At 41.0% G+C, this 25,921-nt stretch overlaps 1 protein-coding gene and 1 long non-coding RNA gene across 3 annotated transcripts in view, besides 7 other annotated features; one reads left to right on the forward strand and one right to left on the reverse strand.

The window, feature by feature from the left end:
- INCR1 (interferon stimulated noncoding RNA 1) overlaps positions 1–25,921 on the reverse strand; it is a 172,297-nt gene that overhangs the window by 48,977 nt on the left and 97,399 nt on the right. The window contains exon 2 of the long non-coding RNA XR_007061406.1: positions 18,129–18,222. This is a non-coding gene — a long non-coding RNA (interferon stimulated noncoding RNA 1). The remainder of the gene's footprint in view (positions 1–18,128; positions 18,223–25,921) is intronic.
- Positions 2,672–3,871: an enhancer, noted in NCBI's record as "CDK7 strongly-dependent group 2 enhancer chr9:5509079-5510278 (GRCh37/hg19 assembly coordinates)". NCBI's record gives its function as "activates an origin of replication core promoter dependent on BRD2, BRD4, P300/CBP, MED14 and CDK7 cofactors, with strong dependence on CDK7, by STARR-seq in HCT116 cells {active_cell/tissue: HCT116}" and the evidence as "EXISTENCE:reporter gene assay evidence [ECO:0000049][PMID:35650434]".
- Positions 2,672–3,892: a biological region, named in NCBI's record as "CDK7 strongly-dependent group 2 enhancer GRCh37_chr9:5509079-5510278".
- Positions 3,813–3,892: an enhancer, noted in NCBI's record as "active region_28166". NCBI's record gives its function as "activates an Ori minimal core promoter by ATAC-STARR-seq in GM12878 lymphoblastoid cells {active_cell/tissue: GM12878}" and the evidence as "EXISTENCE:reporter gene assay evidence [ECO:0000049][PMID:35858748]".
- Positions 3,953–4,012: an enhancer, noted in NCBI's record as "active region_28167". NCBI's record gives its function as "activates an Ori minimal core promoter by ATAC-STARR-seq in GM12878 lymphoblastoid cells {active_cell/tissue: GM12878}" and the evidence as "EXISTENCE:reporter gene assay evidence [ECO:0000049][PMID:35858748]".
- The window catches only part of PDCD1LG2 (programmed cell death 1 ligand 2), a 60,752-nt gene continuing 38,954 nt past the window's right edge, over positions 4,124–25,921 (forward strand). For both annotated transcript variants that reach the window (XM_005251600.4, NM_025239.4), the window contains exons 1-2: positions 4,124–4,396; positions 16,126–16,194. In XM_005251600.4, coding sequence (XP_005251657.1) covers positions 16,140–16,194 — 55 coding nt within the window. In that variant the 5' untranslated portion in view covers positions 4,124–4,396; positions 16,126–16,139. The remainder of the gene's footprint in view (positions 4,397–16,125; positions 16,195–25,921) is intronic.
- Positions 4,173–4,222: an enhancer, noted in NCBI's record as "active region_28168". NCBI's record gives its function as "activates an Ori minimal core promoter by ATAC-STARR-seq in GM12878 lymphoblastoid cells {active_cell/tissue: GM12878}" and the evidence as "EXISTENCE:reporter gene assay evidence [ECO:0000049][PMID:35858748]".
- Positions 10,265–10,404: an enhancer, noted in NCBI's record as "active region_28169". NCBI's record gives its function as "activates an Ori minimal core promoter by ATAC-STARR-seq in GM12878 lymphoblastoid cells {active_cell/tissue: GM12878}" and the evidence as "EXISTENCE:reporter gene assay evidence [ECO:0000049][PMID:35858748]".
- Positions 25,162–25,211: an enhancer, noted in NCBI's record as "active region_28170". NCBI's record gives its function as "activates an Ori minimal core promoter by ATAC-STARR-seq in GM12878 lymphoblastoid cells {active_cell/tissue: GM12878}" and the evidence as "EXISTENCE:reporter gene assay evidence [ECO:0000049][PMID:35858748]".

A 25,921-nucleotide genomic window follows, 5' to 3' on the forward strand; every position in this document is an offset into this window, starting at 1 on the left:
CAATTGCACTTGCAATTTCCACAAAAAAAAAAAAAATACCTACGAATACAGCTAAACAGGGAGGTGAAAGAGCTCTACAATGAGAATTACAAAATACTGCTAGAAGAAATTAGAGATTACACAAACAAATGGGAAAACATTCCATGCTCATGGATAGGAAGAATCAATATCATTAAAACGACCAAAGCGGTTTATAGATTCAATGCTGTTTCCACCAAACTACCAGTGATATTCTTCACTGAACTAGAAAAAAATATTTTAAAATTTATATGGAACCAACAAAGAGCCCAAATAGCCAAGGCAATCAAAGCAAAAAGAACAAAGCCAGAGGCATCATCCTACCAGACTTCAAACTATACTACAAGGGTACAGTAACCAAAACACCATGGTTCTGGTACAAAAACAGACACATAGACCAATGGAACAGAATAGAGAACCCAGAAATAAGGCTGCACACCTACAATTATCTGATCTTTGACAAAGCTGACAAAAACAAGCAATGGAGAAAGGACTTCCTACTCAATAAATGGGGCTGGGATAACTGGCTAGCCATATACAGAAGATGGAAACTAGACTCCTTCCTTACACCAGATACAGAAATCAACTTAAGATGGATTAACAACTTAAATGTAAAACCTAAAACTATAAAAAACCCTGGAAGACAATATAGGCAATACCATTCTGGACATAGAAGTGAGTGAAGATTTCATGACAAAGACACCAAAAGCAATTGCAACAAAAGCAAAAATTGACAAATGGGATCTAATTAAACTAAAGAGCTTCTACACAGCAACAGAAACTATCAACAAAGTAAACACACAACCTACAGAATGGGAGAAAAGTTTTGCAAACTATGCATCTGACAAAGGTCTAATATCCAGTATCTATAAGGAACTTAAACAAATTTACAAGAAGAAAACAAACAACCCAATTAAAAAGTGGGCAAAGGACATGAACAGGCGTTTTTCAAAAGAAGACATACACATGGCCAACAAGCATATAAAAAAGCTCAATATTACTTATCATTAAAGAAATGCAAATCCAAATCACAATGAGAGATCCTCTCACACCAGTCAGAATGGCTATTATTAAAAAGTTAATAAGTTGGCCGGGTGCGGTGGCTCACACCTGTAATCCCAGCACTTTGGAAGGCTGAGGCAGGTAGATCACAAGGTCAGGAGATCCAGACCATCCAGGCTAACATGGTGAAACCCCGTCTCTGCTAAAAATACAAAAAAATTAGCCGGGCGTGGTGGCGGGCGCCTGTAGTCCCAGCTACTCAGGAGGCTGAGGCAGGAGAATGGCATGAACCCAGGAGGTGGAGCTTGCAGTGAGCTGAGATCTCACCACTGTACTCCAGCCTGGAAGACAGAGTGAGACTCCATCTCAAAAAAAAAAAGTTAATAAACAACATGCTGACAAGGTTATGGAGAAAAGGGAATGCTTATACACTATTGGTGGAGTGTAAATTAGTTCAACCATTATGGAAAGCAGTGTGGCAATTCCTCAAAGAGCTAAAAACAGAACTACCATTCAATCCAGCAATCCCATTACTGGGTATATACCCAAAGAAATGTAAATCATTCTATCACAAAGACACATGCACACACATGTTCATCATAGCACTATTCACAATAGCAAAGACATGGAATCAACCTAAATGCCCATCAACGACAGACTGGATAAAGAAAATGTGGTACATATACACCAAGGAATACTATAGAGCCGTAAAAAAGAGCATGTCCTTTGCGGGAACATGGATGGAGCTGGAAGTCATTATGCTTAGCAAATTAATGCAGGAACAGAAAACCAAATACCACATGTGTTCACATATAAGTGGGAGCTAAGTGATAAGAACACATGGACACAAAGAGGGGAACAACACAAACTGGAGCCTAGCTGAGGGTGGAGGCCCCAGGGAGGAGGGAGATGAGCAAAAAAAAAAAAAAAAAAAAAAAAAAAAAAAAAAAAAATGACTGGGTTCTAGGCTTAGTATCTAGGGGACAAAATAATCTGTATGACAAACCTCCATGACACGAGTTTACCTATGTAAAATAAAAGTTTAACAAAAAACTAAAAAAGTTACCTATGTAAAACAAAAGTTTAACAAAAAACTAAAAAAAGTTACCTCCACCCAGAAATGCCTTTATTAACACTTTGGTTTGTAACCCTCCATTATTTTCTCTAGACATATAGATTTATGAGGCAGGCTAATGTGCTGAGACACTAGCTTGAGTTTCATTTGGCCTTGCTGTGAATATACCTGGGCCTTCCTTTGCTTCAGGATGCCCTAAACTGTGGCAAAGCAGAGCTGAACTGCCCAAAGGAAAGTGTGAAGAGGAGAGGCAGGCCAAGCCTGGAGAAAGGCTACCCAAGAGAGAGGAAAGGAAACTGTGGTGAGTGCACCTCACTCCTAAAGAAGGACAGGAACTCTGGTAGGTGAGGTGTGTTTTCCATAGATACTAAAACTCAAAGCCACACAGGGGACATATGTCCATTCCTCAGCCAGTCACTGTGGCCAGGAACAGAGGGTCAGGTAAGAGAATGGCAACTCCTAAGGAAACCACATGCCTGGAGCCGTGGGTGTAGAAGCAGATCCCCAGAGGAAGCACGGGTCCCACAGACACAGTCCCAACTCTTGCCGTCTAGGCAGCCACTCCCATCTGTAGGTACTACACAGCTTCGTAGTACTTCTTAAAGTACTTCTTGTTCAAGCGATGGGACGAAAAGAGGATGCAGGACAAGGAGGAGGAAAGGAGATCCTTGCTTTTGTAGAAGAAACAAGGAGGCAGGGAAGGCTTAGAGGACAGGCAAGGAGAGATGTTTTCTTAAAAACATCCTCTGTCTGAGTGTTCAGCCCCACATCTCTGCTGGTCCTACCCCTATAAGCACAAGGAAAAGGGCGGGAGGCAGCAGGAGAAGGATTGATCATTCAGGCCTATATTCAAGTTTGCCTTTTCTTGCCATGTGGTTTTAATCTCACCAATCACAAGCCTGAAGGTATAGTGGGGCCACTGAGGTCCGAGTTCAAATTCAGCCATGCAACTAAGGAAACATTGTTTGATCTTGGTCCTGTTTTCTCATGTGTAAAATGGGTCTAACTCTAAACCACACATTGCACTGAGAATGAAATGAGGCACTATGAAATGAAGTGAGGTTAGTTGAATAATGTTCCCCCCAAATTCATGTCTACTGAGGACCTCAGAATGTGACTATATTTGGAAGTAGGGTCTACGCAGATGTAGTCTAAATGAGGTCATACTGCATTAGGGTGGGCACTAATCAAACGGATGGTATCCTCATAAGAGGAGAGGAATGTAGAGATACACACAGAAAAGAATGTCATTTGAAGATGGAGGCAGAGATTGGAGTGATACAACTATAAGTCAGGGAATGCCAAGGACTTGAGGTCATGTGTTACAGAAGCCCTAGGAAATGAGTCAATTTCCTGGCACAGCACTAAGACATGCTGGTATTCTTCATTCCATCCCTTTCCCCTATTCCTAAATGTGCTCCAGGGACAATGGGGAAGCTGGAGCACATATAAGAATAGGGGAAAGAGAGGGAATAAAAGGGTATTAAAAACTCTCAAGGTATGTTAAAAAAAAGACTCTCAACAAACCAGGTATTGAAGGAACATACCTCAAAATAATAAGAGCCATCTATGATGAACCCACAGCCAACATCACACTGAATAGGCAAAAGCTGGAAGGATGCCCCTTGAAAACCGGCACAAGACAAGGCTGCCTTCTCTCACCACTCCTATTCACCATACTATTGGAAGTCCTGGCCAGAGCAATCAGGCAAGAGAAAGAAAGAAAAGGCATCCAAGAAGGAAGAGAGGAAGTCAAACTACCCATGTTTGCAGATGACATAATTTTATATCTAGAAAATCCCACAGTCTCAGCCCAAAAGCTCCTTAAGCTGATAAACTTCAGAAAGTTTCAGGATCCCACATGAACATACAAAAATCACTAGTATTCCTAAACACCAACCATAGCTAAGCCAAGAGCCAAATCAGGAATGCAATCCCATTCACAGACAAACTGCTAAAAGCAAAACCAAAACTTTCCAAATAAGCCAGGCTTTCGTCAGTTCCTCAGAACTAGTTCTGGTTTGACTCACTCTCATGTTACGGCAAACCTTAAGCTGAATGAACAACTTTTCTTCTCTTGAATATATCTTAACGCCAAATTTTGAGTGCTTTTTTGTTACCCATCCTCATATGTCCCAGCTAGAAAGAATCCTGGGTTGGAGCTACTGCATGTTGATTGTTTTGTTTTTCCTTTTGGCTGTTCATTTTGGTGGCTACTATAAGGAAATCTAACACAAACAGCAACTGTTTTTTGTTGTTTACTTTTGCATCTTTACTTGTGGAGCTGTGGCAAGTCCTCATGTGAGTAACGAGTGGGTTGAGATACTCTCATACTATTATGTTGTGGACCATGATGAGGCTGCCAGGGTGGGGGAAGGGTGGCCTACCTTCTCTCCACACCATTTGAGGCAAGAGACATTCTGCCTCAGAAATTGTGCTGAGGGGCACAAATAAGCTAATGTCCTCCTGCCCCAGATTTCTCTCACTTGTTCCTATGCATATTGTTCTTGTTGCTCAGTTTTATAAGGTGAGATATTTTCTGCACCAAATATGTGCACTGTAAAATAATATAACTATTCTTAAGATTGTCTCTCAGCTTAGAGTTTTCGGAGGCTTAATGGTGAAGAACTTAAAAATCTGTTTTCCTATGACTGACATCTGTTTGTGATTATCCATTTAGCAGACGGTGATCCCTCCAGGCTGGCCTTTGTTTACAAGCTATGCCTAAGAGGCAGCTGTTGGTGGAGGGGGAACAAAAACAAAAAACCCAAAACTATTATCTTAATAACTTATAGAGGTAATCATTATTGAACAAAAGCATGATTTGGGGACTATGGAAAGGCTTATTCTTTCCATATAAAATGATCAGCGAAAAGGTAGAAAAATTAAACAGAACTGAAATAATTGCTATTGATTGCTCACCGCCTGGATGCACTGAGTAGAAGAGCAAAGGCAATGGGTTCATGTGGAGGGGATGGAGGTGGAGAGGCTAAGCCTGAGTGAGATTACCAACTAATCAGGACTTTTAACCCAAAAATACTATGGCTCTGAGGGGCAGGGAATGAGAGACCTAAATTGACAAAATGCAGAGTAAAAATATTCAGTGTGAGCAGTAATGAGACAGTTGTATCAGGGTCAAATACGGAGTTGGCCTGGATGTCCTCCAAGCTCCTTTCCAAGCCTAAGATTCTGTGAGTGGATGAACAATCCTGGTCCTGCTGCTCTTGCCACTGGAACCTGATCTATTTGCCTTCATTATTTGAGGTCTCCCCATCATCAGGCTCTTTGTTGTCTGCTGCTTCAGGGTGTCTTCTCCCCAGATTTCTCCTGTTGGTGAGCTTTTCCATTGAACTGGAGCTCCTCACAGGCAAGAAGCACACCTTTAAGGTTCTCTGAGTCCCAAGTTCCTAGTGCAGTACCTGGCAATACACATAGGTGCTTAGTGGGTGCTTGCCGAATTGTTGAATGGATTTATTTGATGAAATGTCAGGAGAATCACCAGAAATGAAATGTTCGTGTAATGGACAGGGGGAAGTTTGAGGTTGATTTGAAAAAGGAGATGGTAGAGACAGTATTATGGGTCATGCTTCAGAGTTTATTTGCTTTACAATACATTGGACAGCAACCAGTAGATTGTTGTGTGTCATTTTAATTCCACATGCTAATGTCCAAATATGTCATATGTCTTAATTGTTGCATACGTGGGTTACTCTGTAAAGGGGCAACTGTAGTATCACCTCCTCATGCCACACCCTGCTCCACTGTAGCTGGGCTCGATAACCTTCAAATCAACTCACAGAATTCCAGGACAGACAAGAGCATCTGAAAGGTTATCTAGCCCCAGTCACCTCTGATGCCTTCCAGCTGTCTCTAACACACCTGTGGGCTGACTTCCAGTTCTTAGTCTTCACGGCTCCCTATGATGAACTGCCCCTGCTTTGAGGGATTTTCCTCCATTGCCTCAGAAGTACTGCCCTGGGGGAGCTTCTGATGCTCTTCTGACCACCTTGTCTCTGCCTTTTTCACTAGTCCTCTGTTCCTGCTCTCCAAATTTTGGGACGTTCCTGAGTTCAGATCTTTTCTTTATAATCTTTCTTTTATATTCTCCCCATCAGATGGTTCATTCATTCCTCAATATTAACTAACATTTCCATATTAGAAATAACTTCCTTATCTTTAGCCCTAAATTTTGTCCCAAACTCTGGACCTACAATTTTTTGGAATGCTTATGCCTTGCCCAGACTAAAACCAAACTTACTGTCTTCCCTCTAAAATCAGCTCCCCATCTTCTATTTCTCCCTGCCACCCTTCCTCCCCCATGGCTCCAATATTGTCTTGCCAGTCTGGTCTTAAAACCACAGTCAATCTTGTTGCTTTTCTCTTTGTCTCTTGTGCATGGCTGATCAGCAGTCAATTGTTTTGTCAATTGTCTTATATGTTTCTTCTTCCTCTTCCTTGCTTCCTTTTTCTGACCTGAAGTTAGGGCCTTGTTACCAAACATCTAGATGAATACAGTGACCCCCTAATTGAGAGGCTGTCTACCAATTCCACCCACCCTCAATTCTATACTCAAAAAAAAAATTAGATGTAATCTTTTTCAGATACTCCTTTGGTATTGTCACTTAGTTTTTGAGTGACTGCCACTATTTCCCGATTGGCAGCTCTGCCTGGCATTAAGCTCTTGACATTCTCAACCTAAGTGTCCAGCCAAGTTACTCTGTTCATTGTCCCCTCAACACGCCTGTGCATTTGCACCTCTGAGACTGCTTCTGAGTCAGCTATGCACTGCCCTTTAGAATAGCTTCAACCCCAAATCCTACCAGTGCTTCAAAGGCCCAGTTCAAATCCTACCCCTCTGGGAAGTCTCCCTTCCTTTAGTCAACTTCTAGGGCTTTTGCAATTTTATCACTTGTTTTACATCAGTTTTACTATTTTTCATGTGTGAGAGTTTTAACCTTCCAATTATGGTACAATGTCTTTAAGGGCAAGGGCCCTTTCTTAGAGGAAACCCTCTATGAATTCTCCAATGATAAATTATTCTATGAATTCTCACAACTTTCTAATATAAAGGCTTATAAAAAGTGGGAACTCACTGTTTATTGCTTAAAAAATTGAGATTTAATTTGAACTTAAATGCTCTATTAAATTGAGTAGAATAGCATCTTAAGGCTACTGGTAGTCTATCTATGCCACAGATGGTTTAGAGATCAAATAATTACTCATATACCTATGACAGCAGAGTACTGGCTGTAAGATCCCCCCAAAACTCAAATACCTATTGGGTTTGTCAGGCAACAAAAATAAGTGAATCCAGCTAGGTCTAATACAATGGAAAATGGTAGGACCTGGGGCAAACTCTGCATAACTTGCCCAAAGGCATTCAAATTCAGATTATGTTCAGACATTGCTAATTACAATTAGTGTCTTAGACACTTGGCTTCAAAACAGTGGTTAGTTCAGGTATTTCAGATCAATTGGGTATGCATTTATCTAGGTCTTCATGGATAGCCGGGCTCTACTAGACACTGGGAGAGGGAAGAGGCAAATGGGATAAGACTGGCAGTATTTAACAAAGAATGAAGTATTTTACAAACATGATCCTTTAGGCTGGTTATTGTTACACAAAGGAATGATTTGCTAGGATTCTTGAGATACTTCCATAGAATGTCTATGCCTCACTTATTGCACAGACCAGAGAATTCCATAAAAGCACTGGCTGTGTCTTATTTACCCTTGTATACTAGAGCTTGGCACATAGTAAATACCAAGTAAATGTTTTGAATAAAAGAAAGAGATAATTAAAGCTTCAGCACCACAATTATTTGTATTTCATCTATCAGTTTGGAAATAGATCTCCACAGACAGTAGAAATGGCAAGAAACTAGGCCTATAGCAACCAAGAAGTGAAACTGCTAGAACCTACCATCATTTCTGATCCTCTTGCAAATTTTGCTTGAAAAAAATTTCCTCATTTTCTGTTTACGAACTTATCCTCAGAATTTACAGATGTTTCCTTGATTTCTCTGGAAAGATACAACTTCCTAATGCAATTGAGTAAATTGATACTTCTTATGTAGAAATAAGCAGAATAAGCTGGGCAAGGTAGCCCACAACTATAGTCCCAGCTACTTGGGAGGCTGGGGCAGGAGGATCACTTGAAGCCAGAGTTTGCTTGAGGCCAGGAATTCGAGGCTGCAGTGCTCTATGATCACACCTGTGAATAGCCACTACACTCCAGGCTAGGCAATGAGTGAGACCTAGTCTCTAAAGAAAAAAAAAAAAAAAAAAAAAAGACAAAATAAGATCAAAATTGAGTATGAACTGATAAATACAAGGTAGACAAGAAATATCCTGAGAGGCGCAATCGTTCTGCAGACATTTGCTTGGGAAGCTCAGGGGAGGATTTATGAAGGAGGTAGCCCTGAGTGAGTCTTAAAAAATGGGTAGACTTTTACCAGGCAAGATCTTAGTGAAGTTAGTGAGAGGAGTGGTCATATAGGAATTCATGGGATTTTTAGACCAAAGATTACCACCCTCATAAGTGATAATGACGATGAATGTGAAGAATGTTTACCACTTGCAAAGTATTTTTCACATACCTTGTCCAAGTTCCCACAAGCATTTCTGTTCACTACCTGTGGTTTGGTCAAGAGACCCAGATATTAGAGAACGTGTTGATTTCTAGTTTCTAACTCCGCCCAATAACATTAAGATGAAAATGGATAGCCACATAGGAACAGACATCAATAAACATATTTAGAAAACACAAGTGAATTTTAAAAGGGGAGACTTAAGAGGTGGCATGGTTGTTTGAACATGTTCGTTTTTGTCTCCTGGAGAAAAGTCAGCACAATGCTCATTCAGCTACATAAGTGTTTCTGTTACAGCTCTTTCAGTCCACCATTCGGCAGGTCCTGAATTCTTGTCCCTTGTCCAGAAAAAATGAGGTATGTGGACAACTGGAGGGTGAGCAAGGCGGAGAGGAGCTTCGTTGAGTGACAGAACAGCTTTCAGGAGACCCAAAGTGGGTAGCACTTTTCCATAGGCAGGAAATGAGTGTTCAACTCTCAGCAGAGAGGAGACCCACAATGGATAGCTCCTTACCACAGGCAGGTCATCCCAGAGAGGTGAGGAGACACAAGCCAGGCACAGTGGCTCACGCCTGTAATCCCAGCACTTTGGGAGGCCGAGGCGGGTGGATCACGAGGTCAGAGTTCGAGACCAGCTTGGCCAAGATGGTGAAACTCCATCTCTACTAAAAATATGAAAAATTAGCCAGGTGCAGTTGTGCACGCCTGTTGTCCCAGTTACTCAGGAGGCTGAGGCAGGAGAATCACTTGAACCCGGGAGGCGGAGGATGCAGTGAGCCAAGATCACACCACTGCACTCCAGCCTGGGTGAGAGAGCAAGACTCCATCTCAAAAAAAAAAAAAAAAAAAAAAAAAAAGAAAAGAAAGAAAGAAAGAGGAGATCTGAAGTGAGCAACTGCTTCCCCTAGCTGGTAGTCCCAATGTCTGTTCAAGTCTGGCTGAGTCCAGGGTTTTGTGTTTGTTTGTTTTGTTTTTTTGAGACGGAGTCTCACTCTGTCACCAGGGCTGGAGTGCAGTGGCGCAATCTCGGCTCACTGCAACCTCTGCCTCCCGGGTTCAAGCGATTCTCCTGCTTCAGCCTCCCGAGTAGCTGGTATTACAGACACCCACCACTACATCCAGCTAATTTTTTGTATTTTTAGTAGAGACGGGGTTTCGCCATGTTGGCCAGGCTGGTCTCAAACTCCTGACCTCGTGATTTTCCTGCCTCGGCCTCCCAAGTGCTGGGATTACAGGCATGAGCCACTGAGCCCGGTCGAGTCCAGGGTTTTTACAGGCTCAGAAGGGAGGAAGAGTGTGCTGATTGGCCCATGGGCAGCCATGGAAGGGCCCAGAAAAAGCACTGTAAGTTCTTACCCCAGGCTGTGGACTCCACCCACAATTGGCAACCTGGCTCCCAGGCTTTGGGCCATCCCTGGCTTGAAGGTTGGGTTTCACCAGGGACCTAACCCCTTTCCGCCAAGGAACCTGTCTCCCTCTTGCCATCAACATGCTGTCCATGATGCCCAGGCTGTTCGTGCCGAGGGGTGCCTGCAGGCCTGCCCTGAGCCACCCTCAGCCCCTGCTCAGCCTCCCTCTGTGCTTGTCAGCACCCAACATCTGGAAGAGGTCGAGGCAGCAGGGGGCTAGTGTGTCAGTACCATCCTGAGCACCCACATGCCTGGCCGGGTTGTGACAGCACCTAGGCTTGGCCACAACTTTGCTTCACCCAGTAGCAGGTGCCAGGAGTGGGAAGAGGCCAGGGAGTGGGAGCAGGCACTTTCAACCTTGTGGGAGCAGGGGACTTCCTGGGCCCCTGAGAGTACAGAGATGCCTGGGTCCAGAGCCACTGCTGGGCAGCTACAGGGGTGCCTGGGAGCATGCGGTTCCCACCCCGCCAACTCAGTACGGGGCGGGACTCCCACCTGTTCTTGGCCTCCCTGGCCACACCTCCACTGCTGCAGCTGCTCTAAACGGGCAGCTGCTGCCATCACTGTGAGCTATGATTGTGCCACTGACTCCAGCCTGGGCAACAGAAAGAGACCTATATGGTATGTTAAATGGTAATGACTGCTTTGGGGGAGAAAAGATGACTAAGGATTGTTGGGAATGCTGGGGTAGGGTTGGAGTGCTCTTGCAATTTTACATAAGACAGTCTCAGGAGAAAAAACAATGAAAGTGTCCGGGTAGAGGGACATGTACACTGGCAGCAAGGTCTTCCCTTAGGGATTGGATCTGCGGAAGAGGCCACACAGGCCTGGAAGCAGGCTTAAGGCCATTCAGGCTAGGAATTCCAGTGTTTCAAAGACAGACTGCAATGGATGGCGGTTGGTAGGTCAAAAGCTCCAGATAACATCTCTCAGCCCTGCGAACACCTTACTCTCGGGGAGAAGGATGGGCACAGTGGGTCCTTTAAAGCATGGGGTCCAGGACAGGGGCCTCTTGTCTTGGCTGTTGAAAAAACTGGGTTTTACACTGAGTGAAATGCTGAGCCATCGGAAGGTTTTAAGAAAATATGGTTTGACTTTTATTTTTTAAAAACCACTCTGGCTGCAGAATCAACTGCAGGAAGGCAAAACTGGAATCATAGCATCCAGTTGTCAGACTAATGCAGAAATCACCATGAGAAATGACAATGACTCTGACCGATATGGAAGCAGTGGAGGTGGTGAGAAATGGTCAGATTCTGGATATATTTGAAGGAAGGGCCAATAGGGTTGGTTAATGAATCAGATGTAGAGTGAGAAAAGAAAGGACTCAAGATGACTCCAAGGTTCTTGTCCTTCACCTCAATAAGTGGAGGATGGAGCAGAGGAAGGCAAGACTAGAAGGTAAAAATAGCAGTGAGAAGGCTCTGCTATGGTATAAGAAGAAATGATAAGAAGCTGAATTAAGGTGATGGCAGTGGGGTGGAAGAAAGGAGAGCCACCATGCAAAAAGTATCCAGGAGGGAGAATTAACAGGACTAGGGGATGGGCCATATTTGCAAGATGAGAAATGCAGAGGTCTAAGATTCTAGCTTAAGGTGGGTGTTGCTACTATTAGCATAATAGGAAAACAAGGCACAAAGACTTTTCAAAATTTGTCCAAGGTGTTAGAGGCTTACAATTTGTAAAACCAGGATTAAACCCAGATGTGTCTGATTTTAGAGCCTGAGCTCTTACTCATTGCATAAACCATATTTTCCCCAGAGGAGGATTAGTAGGAAAGGAAGCTGCTGGTTGGAAAGTATCTTTATAGCAGTGTCTGTTCCTCGGTTTGCTCAAGGGGACAGTGTGCCAGGAAAGTCCCCGTGGAAGGGCAAGGAAGAAGGGGAAGTTAAAGCCAGTGGCAGGTGATCCAAGAATCTTTTCTGTTGCTAGAGCTATGTTACATGCTGTCCTTTCATGCTCTAAAAATAAGAGTGCTGGCAAGTGCCAGGCCTGTTGGTGCAGCTTAAGATGATACCTTTCTTGGATATATATGCATCTGAATAAGGAAGGCTATCTTCTGGTCAAGCTAAGGTATGCCATGAGCATTTCCCTGTGGAAAGCACTTAATTCTGTTCCCAGTTGTTACCTGCTGTAAGATCTCCCTTTCTAAAATAAAAACAAGAATACAGCTCACTGAGGACCTTACATTTCCCTCTAGCTACTGACTCATTTCTCTTCTCCTTTTTATAGCACTCTTCTTGAGAGAGTTGCCTATATTTGTTGCCACATCTTTACCCATTCTCTTTTGAACCTATTCAAGCTTTCATCTGTACAAAACTCACTGATACTGTGCTTGTCAGGATCATCCATGACCTCCATACTGCTAAATGCAACTCTCAAGAGTATTTGGCTCTACTGATCACTCCTTTGTAGCACTGTGTTTTAAAATATAGGTTTTATTATTATTTAGGTATGGTGAGGCCAATATATCAGGAAATGACTGTCGTTGAAAAAAGTATGTTGTACTCACAGATCCCAAGAGAAGGGGGGCACACCATGCCACAAAGGGCCACATGGGGAAGCACCAGGGTCAGCCAGGAGGTGGGTGGGGGGTGCGCAAGATCTTTATTGTGGTTTCAACAGGAAGAAATGGGTGAAGCAGGGTGAGTGGATTTAGGATTAGCTGATATAAATAATTTCAGCAGGCTCTGGGGCATAGGGGCTGTCCCTAGTCTTCTGGTACTTGGCCCTGGGGTGATTAAGGCAGTTGCATAGTGTTGGGAATGTGAAAGCCCCCAATAAATGAGGCAGTTGTGGGTATGGGCTCTGAAATGGGTTGGTTTGCATTTGAAAGGTGTGCTCATGGGCAAGTGGTTTACTCTCTCTTAGAGGTTAGAATTGGCTAACCCTGGGAGCGGCAGTCCCTTCAGGGTCAGCAAGGCCCCAGGTGTCAAAGCATCAGAATACAGAAAATAAAATGCATGGATAATACACACTGCCATTTGCCTTTGTACCCTTCCTTTCAATCTTCTCTGCTGGTGACCGCTCTTCACAAAGATCTATAAATGTTGGAATACCCCATGTCTCAGTCCTTGGGCACTCTCTTTCCTATCTCTCTGTAGGTGATGTAATGCAGATATCCATGACTTTAAATCTTTAACACTTCTGCATTGATGACTCCTAAATTTACATCTCTACCCCAACTGCCTACTAAACACCTCCACTTGGCTATCTAATAGGCATTTCAAACCAAATCTACAACAAACGTAACTCTTTTTCCCCTTCCTTAATTTGCTTCTCCCCCAGCCTTCTCCATTTTAATAAACAGCATCTCCATTGCCTTAGTGACTCAAGCCCCAAACTTAGGAATTTTCCCAGATTTCCCTCTTTTTCTCAAACTATATATCTAGCCTGTCAGCAGTTCCCTTCAGGTCTTTTTTCAAACTATAGAAGGCCTAAACAAAGGAAAGACATGCTGTATTCATGAATTGGAAGACTAAATATTATTCAGCTGGCTGTATTCCCCAAATTGATCTATGGATTCAATGCAATCCCTACCAAAATTCCAGCTTCCTTTGTCTGCAGAAATGAGCAAGTTGACCCTAAAATTCATTTGAAAATGTAAGGAAGCCCGAATAGCCCCCTAAAAAAAAATCTTGAAAAAGACTAACAAAGTTGGAGGACTCACACTTTCCAGTTTCAAAACTTACTACAAAGCTACAGTAATCAACGCTGTGTGGTACTGACATAGGATAGACATATAGTTCAATAAAACAGAATCGAGAGTCCAGAAATACATCCTTATATATATGATCAATTGATGTTTTGCAAGGGTGCCAAGACAGTTCAATAGGGAAAGAATAATTTCCTCAACAAATTGTACAGGCACAACTGAATGCCCACAATCAGTAGAACAAATTTGGAACTAAAGTTCTTATATTTAGGTTCTTGATCCATTTTGTTTAATTTTTGTATATGGTATGAGGTAAGGCTCCAAATTTGTTCTTTTGCATGTGGACATCCAGTTGTCCCTGTACAATTGCTCCATTTATATTTATCTTAGCAGAAAATACAGATGTAAATCTTTGTGACCTTGACTAGGCAATGGTTTCTTAGGTATTACACCTAAAGCACAAACAATAAAAGAAAAAAGTAGATAAATTGGATTTTTTTACTTAAAATCAATTTGTGTTTCAAAATTAAATAAAATCAAAATTAAATTAAAACATTTATCCTTCACAGGATTCTATAAAGAAACTGAAAAGACAATGTGCAGAATGGGAAAAAATATTTCCAAATCATATATTTGATAAATAGTTTGGCAATTCCTCAAAAAGTTAAATATAGAGTTACCATTTAATTCAGCAATTCTACTCCTACATATGTACCCAAGATAATTAAAAGTATACATAGACAAAGACTTGTATATGAGTTTTCATAGGAACTTTATTCATAATAGCCAACAAGCAGAAACAATCCAAATGACCATCAACTGATGAATGGGTAAGCAAAATGTGGTATATCATACAATGGAATATTATTTAGTCACAAAAAGGAACGCAGTGCTGATATATGCTACAATACAGATGAACCTTGACAACATTATGTTCGGTGAAAAAAGCCAGCCACAAAAGTCCACATATTGCTTGATTCCATTTTTATGAAATATCCAGAATAAGCAATTGATAGAGACAGAAACTAGATTAGTGGTTGCCAAGGGCCATAGGGAAAGGGAAGGGGAAATAGGAAGTTTCTGCTAATGGGTAAGGGGTTCCTTTTCAGGGTAATGAAAATGTTCTAAAATTGGATAATAGTGTTTGTTGCACAACTCCGTGAACATACTAAAAACCACAGAGTCGTGCACTTAAAAAAAGTTTGTGTTTTAAATATATATACACACTTAGACACATATAACCCTCTTTCGTATATCAATTATACTTTAATAAAGCTGTTGAAATTTTTAAAATAAAATTTTAAAACAAAGAAAAAATATATAAACTCGCCAACAGACCACTTCTCACCCCTACTAGCCCCTCTACTCTAAGCTATCAGCATTTCTGCAAACACATTCCTAACCGATCTCACTGCTTGTAATCTTGCCAGCAACCTCTCCCTCTCAGCAATAGTCTATTGCCTACACCAAAGCTTAGTTGTCTCTTAATGATGTAAATGAGGTTCTATCATTCTCCTGACCCAAACCCTCCACTGCTTTTCATCACACTCAGAGCAGCTCTGCTGTTGCCTGATTTAGATGTATGGCTCCAACAGATTTCCCCTGAAGAAATGATTCCATGGCTGATAAAAGTTGGAAAGCCTCCTCAGTTTCAGACCATTATCAGATTAGCTGTGTGCTCTGTCCCTTTCCTCAACCATAAGAAGTCCATGGATAAAGAAAGCTTCAGAGTAAAGGAGAAAGCATGGGAGGTACAGCAGGACCAAGGTGGGGCATTCGCAGCCCCCACCCTCATCAGAGCCAGTTCCCTACTCTCCCTGTCTAAACCTCTTAGTAAGAGGTAGTTCAAGAGAGGGGCAAACTCAATTCCAGCACTCAAAAGCACTTGACTACTTTGCTCAGTCAACTAGCAAGTATTTATTGAGAATGTAGCTCTGTTCTATGGAGTCTTATTTTCAAGTGTCAGACTCCCAGACATCCAGTCCAGGTAAAGAAGATGGTGTCCATTATTCATTTGACAAACAAAGTTGGGGTTCAAGGGCCAGCTATTGAAAAAAGCTATGGAAAGCTTCATGAGACGTGCAGGTAACTGCCAATATGTGTGGTTCACAAGGACTGGTTCATATTCAGAAACGGCCATTAGAAAAGGAAGAAGAACTTCTCATTTGGATTTATAAAGAGTGTCTTGTTTACTCTTAATTTATATCTTCTCTTCTCCAGGAAATCAACCTATAACTTCTCCTCCCAGCTCCACTCTACCATGGTCTGTCACCTTCCCCAAATGATTTGTTATTCCCCTGTTTTCAAAAGTGAACAAAGAACCAAAGACCCAGCAAAGTTTCACAAGGCCCTGAGACTTTCAATTGTCTATTTCAGATCAAATACAGAACATGATCTTCCTCCTGCTAATGTTGAGCCTGGAATTGCAGCTTCACCAGATAGCAGGTAAGAAAGGACAAAGGGAGAGGCTTAAGAAAGAAGAGCAGGTGGTGGTTCCTAGCCAAAGCCAAAAATGAGAATGTGGCCCTCAGGCTGAGGGCTTTCTTTGAGAGGACGTATGATTTCTGGGCTATTCCAAGCACCACAAAAAAAAAAAGAGTCCCCATGGTGGCTTATACATGCCAATGTCCCTATCTGACAGAAACGGTGACTGAGAATATTGCTCCATCTATTCCCACTATCCAGTGAGGGTAATGACAAGAAGACAGGATCACTCAGACCATGTAAATCTAAACTGATACAAGAGGGCAGGGGTTGAGTTCCCTTAAAGGTGAGATGCCAAGCAGCTGTCCCCTTCCTTTCTGGCAGGGAGAGTAAGGAGACAATGGCCAGGGAACACCGTTACTCTAAAGATAATGTCTTGAAGACATTCTGCATATTATTAGTTGTTTCTGTGAGTTTCTTTTTTGAAAAGCAACAATAGCAGCCGTTGGTCATTCATACCTTAATGTGGTTTACTGAGTCTTCCTAAAACCCAAATGAACAATGAACCTTAAGGCTATCCCTTTGGACTTGAAGAAAGGACTTCTATTGGAGGATGAGGGTGAGCAGAAAGAAAAGCAGTTTCACAGTTGGTTGTTCTCCTGGGGAAGGTAGTTCAGACCATTCGAGGGTGTAGTTAGAACCATGAGTGCACTATTTTGGATGAACACCAGGAGCTAAGAGAGTAACATAGAGGTGTGGACAGAGGATTAAGTCCTCAAGACAATAGCCCCAGCCCCATGGGAAATCATCTTTCTGCTCATGATTGAGAAATAATGGCTCCCTTGGCACTTGATAACCTTTCGAAGAGCTTTCTCCTCCCTACTAGCTGGTTCCAGATCACTCTTCACCCAGTCACATTCCTCTCACTCACTTGAGCTGCCCAGCCTGGTCTGGCACTAGAGACATGCACTTGGGGCCCTCCTCAAAGGAAGACCCTGAGATATTCTGCTTACTTCTACTCTGCTCCTGCCTGCAGGGCCAGCTAAAGGAACTTTTCATGTTTTCTTTGCAAGGAACCCTGCCTGGCTGGCATTTTAGAGACAAGCAAAAGGGGCAATAACTTCCTTGCTACAAAACAGCTTCAAGTTTCCATAGAGTGATAAGGGAAATGAGGGCCAAAAGACACTGTTCCCCATCCTGTGGCAGGACTGGGGGCTTCAGGAGAAAACTTGGGGAATGTGTAACCTCTGTGGGTTTGTAGCTTAAAAACACTGAGATCCTGGGTTTTCTGTCTTTGTTTTTTGCCTTTTCTCTTAGGAAAGGAGTGAGCTAGGGTGACAAGGGGCAACATTTTTTATCCCTCATTGGCTCTTTCTACAGAGGAAGGATCTTTTCTTCTAAGATAATCAGCACAAGACAATGAAGATAGGCACTAGCTCCCAGTTAGGTATACTAATGGGGCAAAAGGAAGAGCATTTACATTTATTGAAGATTCACTAAATGCCAGATACTGTGCTAGGCAATTTACATATGGTATAGTTCATTTAATCTTCACAATGATCATTTTGCAGGTGAGGGAACTAGAACTCAGAAAAGGTACTTAATTTCCCCAAGATTACATAGTTATTAGGTGACACCGGCAAGATTTCAACAAAGCTAATGTCCTTTCTACTTTACTGTGCTACCATGATGATGGTAATCAAAAATGGCAGACAACCCATAAATCTTCCAACTTTGGAATAGGTTTTTGCACTGAAGTCTGAATATGGATACGTATTGAATGTTTATTCTGGATATTCACAGAATCAAAAAATATGTGTAATGAATTATGTTGCTGAATTAACTGAAAGGAAAGTAAAAATGTAGCGCTTTCTCATTTTCTTCACGAATTTGGAATTCTTTTCTGCTTTCCACTATGCAGATAACATCAGTTCAGACAAATATTAAATACCTACCTAAATTAGAATGCCTTCTCCTCATGGGATTTTTTTAAAATCTTGTCATTTCATGTCTCTTTAATTAAAGAGTTTTGATTTCAGAGGAGGGTACCTGCAAAAGAAAACAACAAAAAAACTAAAGGATCTGAGAAATAATTAGTGTTTACTTCTGGGGAGGGGAGGAGGTCTGGGATGGGGGTAAAAAGGATAGTCTTATCTATTATGTATATTCAGGTTTTTGTTTTTTACAAGAAGCATGTATTAGGTATTATTTGTATAATAAAATATAATTTTAAAAATACAAGAAATTTCTCATATAAAAATATGAAAGTAATCAGACTGCAACACTCAGTGCCTGAGACAGAGCTACAGCTATCAGGGTGTCCAGACAGACAGAAGATTACATTTTCTTCCTTGCTCCTTGTACAGCCCCAGACCTGCATGCTTCATTGAAAAGAAAAGAAGATACCTGAATTAAATCAATGTGATGCTTAGTACCCTATCAGTGCACATTTCTTTTCTATTTTTAAATTTTAAAAATAACACTTGGCCAGGCGCAGTGGCTCACGCCTATAATCCCAGCCCTATGGGAGGCCGAGGCGGGTGGATCACCTCAGGTCAGGAGTTCGAGACCAGCCTGGCCAACATGGTGAAACCCCTCTGTACTAAAAATAGAAAAATATTAGCCGGGCATGGTGGTGGCCACCTATAATCCAAGCTACTCAGCTGAGGCAGAAAAATTGCTTGAACCCAGGAGGCAGAGGTTGCAGTGAGCTAAGATCATGTCACTGTATTCCAGCCTGGGTGACAGAGTGAGATTCCATTTAAAAAAAAAAAAAAAGAAAAAAAAACACTTATGGCGGTATTCTCAGTCATTACAAATAAATAAAAACAATCCATATGCCCTGGAGAATTTGATTCCAGGAGTAGGTCTAGAAGAACTTCAACTGGAGAATGGATAGAGAAATCATGGTATATTTGCAGAATATATATTATATATATAATAGATAGCATGTGAATAAATTAATTACAAAAACATATGACTACATCTATTATTATATAGCATGTAGATAAATTACAAAAACATGTAACTACATCTATGAATCTTAGAGCATAATATTGAGTAAAAAATAAATAAATAAAAATTAAGGCCAGAAGATAACACATAGCACAATGTCCTTTTCATAAATAAATATATTGCTTAAGCATACCTTATATATAGAAGATAAAGCTTAAAAAGTAAAGAAGAGGCCGGGCATGGTGGCTCACGCCTGTAATCCCAGCACTTTGGGAGGCCAAGGTGGGCAGATCACGAGGTCAGGAGACCGAGACCAGCCTGGCCCGCATGGTGAAACCTCGTCTCTACAAAAAATACAAAAATTAGCTGGGCATGGTGGCACAAGCCTGTAATCCCAGCTACTCGGGAGTCTGAGGCAGGAGAATCGCTTGAACCAGGGAGTCGGAGGTGGCGGTGAGCCAAGATCACGCCACTGCACTCTAGCCTGGGCGACAGAGTGAGACTCCGTCTCAAAAAAAAAAAAAAAAAGTAAGGAAGAGACTGATAAGCCCGATATTCAGGACGCCAGTTACCTCTGGTGCAGGCAGACATACATCATTAGTAATGTGCTAGTTCTTAGGGTAGGTGGTAGGTTCACAGATGTTCATTTTACTTAATTAAATATATTTTGAAAATTTATTTAAAGCTTTCTGTTGTAAAATATATCACAGAGAAAACCACATGAAACAACTATAAAGCTTAACATTACTATAAGGTGATTACTTTTGTAACCACCACCCAGGTTAAGAAGAACTTTGTCAGCTCCCCAGAAATGCTTCACATACCCTAGCCCAATAAAACCTCCTTTGCAAATACTCTTCATAGCACTATCTGATATGCCCTTTATTTTTACCTTTTTTAAATTAAAACAAAACTTTTTAGAGACAGGGTCTTCCTCTGTCATCCATGCTGGAGTGCAGTGGCCCAACCACAGCTCACTGCAGCCTCCAACTCCCAGGCTCAAGTGAGTCTCCTGCCTCAATCTCCTGAGTAGCTAGGACTACAGGCATGTACCACCCGGTCTGGCTAATTTTTTAAACATTTTTAGTGATGGGGTCTTGCTATGTTACACAGGCTGGCCTCAAACGCCTCGTCTCAAGCAATCCTCCTGCCCCAGCCTCCCAAAGCACTGAGATCACAGGTGTGAGCCATCACTCTCAGCCTGCCCTTTATTTTTTCATGAAAGAAATTGCTGAAGAGGACTAAAAGAAGTTTTAGTAAGCATTCAATAAATGTATGTTCTTTATAGTTTCCAAATCAGCAAATATAGACATCCTGCATTTTTAAGGAGATTTATATATTTTATTGGACATGCTGTAATTTATTTAACCACTTCCCTGTTGGTAGACATTATTTCCATTTTCTTCTGCTAGATTAATGCTTGAAAAAAATGTGTGCCTCCTAAAGACTGTGATGAAAGTTGCCTCTGAATAAAACTCAAACAAATCATTAATCATTAACTCTTTCCTTACTTGTATGCTCTTTGGATGCTCTACTGTGTTATCTATAAAATAAAGTTTGAAGTGAAAAATTAGGGTAAAACATTTTATATCATTTTTAAAGGATATATACATGGATGTACTTACATATGCATGTTTAAATTTATATACCATAACATTTATTCTTTTTTTAAAAAAGTCTTATGAATTTTAACAAATGCATAGTCCTATAACTACCACCACCACAGTGAACATCCAGGACAGTTCCATCCCTTGCCAAACAAACAAACAAACAAAAAGCTTCACCCAAGTCTTAAGTCCAGGCACTTACTGATCTATTTTCTGTCCTTATAGTAATGACTTTTCCAGAATGTCATATAAATGGGATCATTCATTAGATATCCTTTTGTATCTGGCTTCTTTCACTTAACATAAAGCATTTGAAATTCATTCATATTGTTGTGTGAATCAATAATTTATACCTGTTTGCTGTTGAGTATATTCTAGTGTATGTATACTATATTTTGTTTATAAATTCCCCAATTGGGGCACATTTGGGTATTTCCCATTTTGGGTGATTACAAATAAAGTTATTATAAATATTTGCATATAGGTTTTTTTGGGCAAACCTAGGTTTTCATTTCACTTGGATAAATACCTAGAAGTGGGATTGCTAGGTCACATGGTAAGTGTATGGTTTATTGTGAGAAACTGCCAAACCTTTCCATAGTGGCTGTACCATTTTTTCATTCCCACCAGCAAGTATATGAGAGTTCTAATTGTTCCTCATCCTTCCCAGCACTGGTATTCTTTTCTATTTTTTCTTTTTTTTTGAGACAGAGTTTCGCTCTGTCACCCAGGCTAAAGTGCAATGCCGTGATCTTGGCTTACTGCAACCTCCGCCTCCCGGGTTCAGGCTATTCTCCTGCCTCAGCCTCCCAAGTAGCTGGGATTACAGGCACCCACCACCATGCCCTTCTTTTGTTTTGTATTTTTAATAGAGACGGGGTTTTGCCATATTGACCAGGCTGGTCTTGAACTCCTGACCTCAGGTGATCCACCCACCTTGGCCTCCCAAAATGCTGGGATTACAGGCATGAGCCACCACGCCCTGCTCTTTTCTTAAGTCATTCTAATAGGTGTGTAGAAGTGGTTCTAACTTGCATTTTCCTAATGACTAATGATATTAAGTATACATATATTTATATATTATTTTATAATCTTATATATAATATACATATTTTATATATTATATATATATTTTATATATATATACACACACACACACATATTTTTTTCTTTTTTTGAGACAGGGTATCACTCTGTTGCCCAGATTGGAATACAGTGGTATAATCATAGCTCACTGCAGCCTCGATCTCTCAGGCTCAAGCGATTCTCCCACCTCAGACTCTGTAGTAACTGGGACTACAGGCCATGCCACCATGCCTGGCTAATTTTTTTTTTTTAATTTTGTAGACATGGGGTCTCCTTGTGTTTCCCAGGCCAGTCTCAAACTCCTGGACTCAAGCCATCTTCTCGCCTCAGCCTCCCAAAATGCTGGGATTACAGGCATAAGCCACTGCACCTGGCCTTAGTTAAGTTTTTATGTACTTATTGTATATCTTCATTGGTGACATTCAAATCATTTCATCCTTTGTAATTGTATACTAAGGAATTAAACGATTGTTTAATTATTGTTTATTTTCTTATTGTAAGGTTTTAAAAATTCTCTATTTTTTTGAGACGCAGTCTCCATCAGTCGCCCAGGCTGGAGTTCACTGTCGTGGCTCACTACAGCCTCTGCCTCCCAAGTTTAAGCGATTCTCCAGCCTCAGCCTCTTGACTGGCTGGAATTACAGGCATGTACCACCATGCTTGGCTTATGTTTGTATTTTCAGTAGAGTCGGGGTTTCACTATGTTGGCCAGGCTGTCTCAAGCTTCTGACCTCAAGTGGCCCACCCACCTTGGCCTCCCAAAGTGCTGGGATTACAGGTGTGAGCCACTGCCACGACCTTAAGAGTTCTTTATTCTAGATACAAGTTCTTTATCAGATATTGATTTTCAAATATTCTTTTGAAGTCTGTAGCTTGTCTTTTCATTTTCTTAACTGTGTCTTTTGCAGAGCAAAGATTTTAATTTTGATGAAGTTTGATTTATCAATGTTTTCTTTTATGGATCATGCTTTTGGTATCATATCCAAAAACTCTTTACATAACCCAAGATGTAAAAGATTGTCTTCTATATTTTCTTCTACACATTTTGTAGTTGTATATTCTATATGTAAGGTTTATAATCCATTTTAATTTTTATATAAGGTGTGATGTATAGGTTAAGCTCATTTTAGTTTTACATGTAGATGTTCAGTTGTTCCAGCCCCATTTGTTAAAAAACACCCATCCTTTCCCCATTCAATAGCCTTTGAATCTTCATCAAAATCAATTAGTCATATTTATGTGGGTCTATTTCTGGACTTTTTGTTCCATTAACTTATGTGTATATCCTTTTGCAAATATCACACTTATATTTGTTTTTTTTCTTACATTTTTATTTCAAAATCTAAGGACATCTTATAACCCAGAAATATTTTTTATACCTTGTCATGTCTTAGAGGAAAGAGCCACCCCAGTCTTTTTTCATTGATGTTTTTCTTCTCTCTTCGTACTCCAGAGGTAGATGAAAACCAGAGGGCCACAATGACCATGGTGATGCCTGAGGTCATTCTGGGGCACAGACCTCAGCCTAGGTTACTCCACTTCGCCTATCTTTAGATCCAAAACTACCCTGCTGACTGCTGAGATAAACAAAGGAGAATAATCAGGTTGGGGAAAGGATTTCTATGCGAAGACATGTCTCCATGCAGTCCTCCTACACTGAGCAGAGCATGAGTCAGGTGCTTAGAGCAGGATTTTGTCCTAAACCAGGAACTTCAGAGTTTTCTGAAGAATGTGGCTATGTAAAGCACCCCCCCACCCCACCCTTACTTCTCAAGTACATTACGTGGCAAGTCTGAAAAAACTTACACTTCTGTTGTTAAATGTGGGGGATAAAATATAAACTTAGTTTCAAGAGGAAGCTATCTTGGGAGGTAATGCAAATAATTCGTTGTGTGTTTCCTGAATAAGTGACAGGTGCTGACTACCATTGATGCTTCATTGCAATAAAATGCAAAGCTCCCCCAAGAATTTTTGAAATGCATCAAGCTAGGTGTTCTAATCTAGCAAAAGGACCTGCATACATGAATTTTTCATGCTTTTGCCAAGTCTTTTGCCCTTTAGTTTAGTTAAGGGCCCCACATGAATGGAAAGCCTGTGTTGTCAGCTTAATTTTGTAGTTGTGGAAACCTTCCAGTTTTCTCCTTTGTCTAATACCTTCAGGAGTTCAATCCTAGGTTGAAGCTTAATTTAATAACCATGTGGCATGTAAAGTAGAAAACAAAACATCTTTTCCTTAGCATACAGCAAAAAAAAAAAAAAAACTCACTCATGGATGTAGTGTACACATGCCAGTGGATATATAGTCATAACTGCAGTCATTGGTAGCACAGAAATAAATGTGCATTGAAGACACAGAGATGAATTTGAATTCCGGTTCCATGAGCTACCATTCTTTGACCTTGGGCAAGTTGCATCACTTCTTTGAGCCTCAGTTTCCCCATCTGTAAAATGTGGATAGCAACATCTACCTCGCAGAGTTGCTGGGAGGATCAGATGAAATGATGGGCTAGCCCAGTGTCTGACTTACTGTGTTTAAGAAATATCAACTATTACGCTACTTCCCAGTGACAGTCCAAATGCAGACCAGTGTTATAACTCTACTTCTCAAACATTAATGTGCATGCAAATCACCGTGACCTTCTTAAAATGCAGATCCTGATTCCCTAGGTCTGGGGAAGGCTTGAAATTCTACATTTCTACCTAGCTTCCAGGTGAAGTTGAGGACAACACTTTGAAGGCAAGGTGGTAAAAGACGCTTGCACGTGCAAATGTTACTTTGTGTAACTAATGGTTCGCAATACTGTCTGCACTTTAGAAGCTCCCAGGAAAAGAAAATCTTTAATGATGCTGACCTCATCTCCAAAATAATGTAATTTTAACAGATCCAAAGTAGTGCCTGGGCATTAGTGTGTTTTAAAAGCCTCCCAGGTGATTCCAATGTTAGCCAAGATTGAGGCCCTCTGCTTAGTGAATCTAATTTGCAGCTGGGCTTGAGAAAAAACCTCTTCATAGAATTGTTTGCATCAGTGTCTTGATTGCCTCTGTAACTTACAATAAGCAAGAATGTTTCAGGATTTCAAAAATCTATTGCATTGCCTAAACCTCTTATTTTGTATGGAGTAATCAAGCTCAAAGTTTGCATGTCTTAGAAACTTTACTTGGGGCAAAATTAGACCAAGTAACAATTAATCTTCTAGGTATTCTGAGCTATTCAGACATATGATTCATGTTTGCTAATTGCTCTTTTCTCTTGTAAATATTAGCTGAAAAATGTCACCTGTCTGACAAGTAGCATATTTTATGCCTATCACTCCTGGCACGCATTCTTACAAGGCAGACAGGAAAAATAGGAAGAAAATGGACTTTTATCAAAGGCCCAGGCAGTAAAGAGGGGAGTTCTGCTGTAAGCTAAGGGGAGTTCCAGAGGAAGTTATAGGCGTTCCCTTTCTTATGACAAGAAAGCATAGTGCAGTAAATAAATTTGCTAAATAGATTCAACAGTCTCTACCCAAAGTCATCTATTTAATTCTTGTTGTTATGCAGACTCAGCAACTAACCTTCCTTGTAAGCCCCATTTTCTTCCCTGTTTCCTGTTTATCAAATGTAATTAAACAAGAGAAGTATTATAGAAGAGTAAAAGTAGTAGGTAATTCTTGAACTTGGCATATGATTACTACATATTTGATGAATAGTTGAATATTATTCTTCAAGGACAGATTGGATTTGGTATCAGGTGGCTCTGCATTAAGTTATAAGGGACTTAATAACTCAAGTATTTAAGGACGGCTTCCATCATAAAGGGATCTGCCCTTAAGAGGGTCCCATTATGGAGATTCTGAGGTGAGAGCTATTCCAAGTGTGCAGTGGATTAAAATAAAAGAATCATACAGGAAATCTCTTTTTACATGCCTTATTCCAGGGTCTTTGCAACCTGGCACAGCAAGTGCAGATATGATTAGCATTGTTTTACACATGTACACTCACCTTATAGCCCTGCCCCTGTGCCCCTCCTGCACAAAAGAATGCTGGGCACACGTGAACTCCTCTCTGTAGAAAGGCACATTAATGTTCTAGCCATGGTTAAAACAGGGATAGAGGCA

Source organism: Homo sapiens, chromosome 9 (genome assembly GCF_000001405.40).
Source record: "Homo sapiens chromosome 9, GRCh38.p14 Primary Assembly".
NCBI classification, from domain to species: domain Eukaryota; kingdom Metazoa; phylum Chordata; class Mammalia; order Primates; family Hominidae; genus Homo; species Homo sapiens.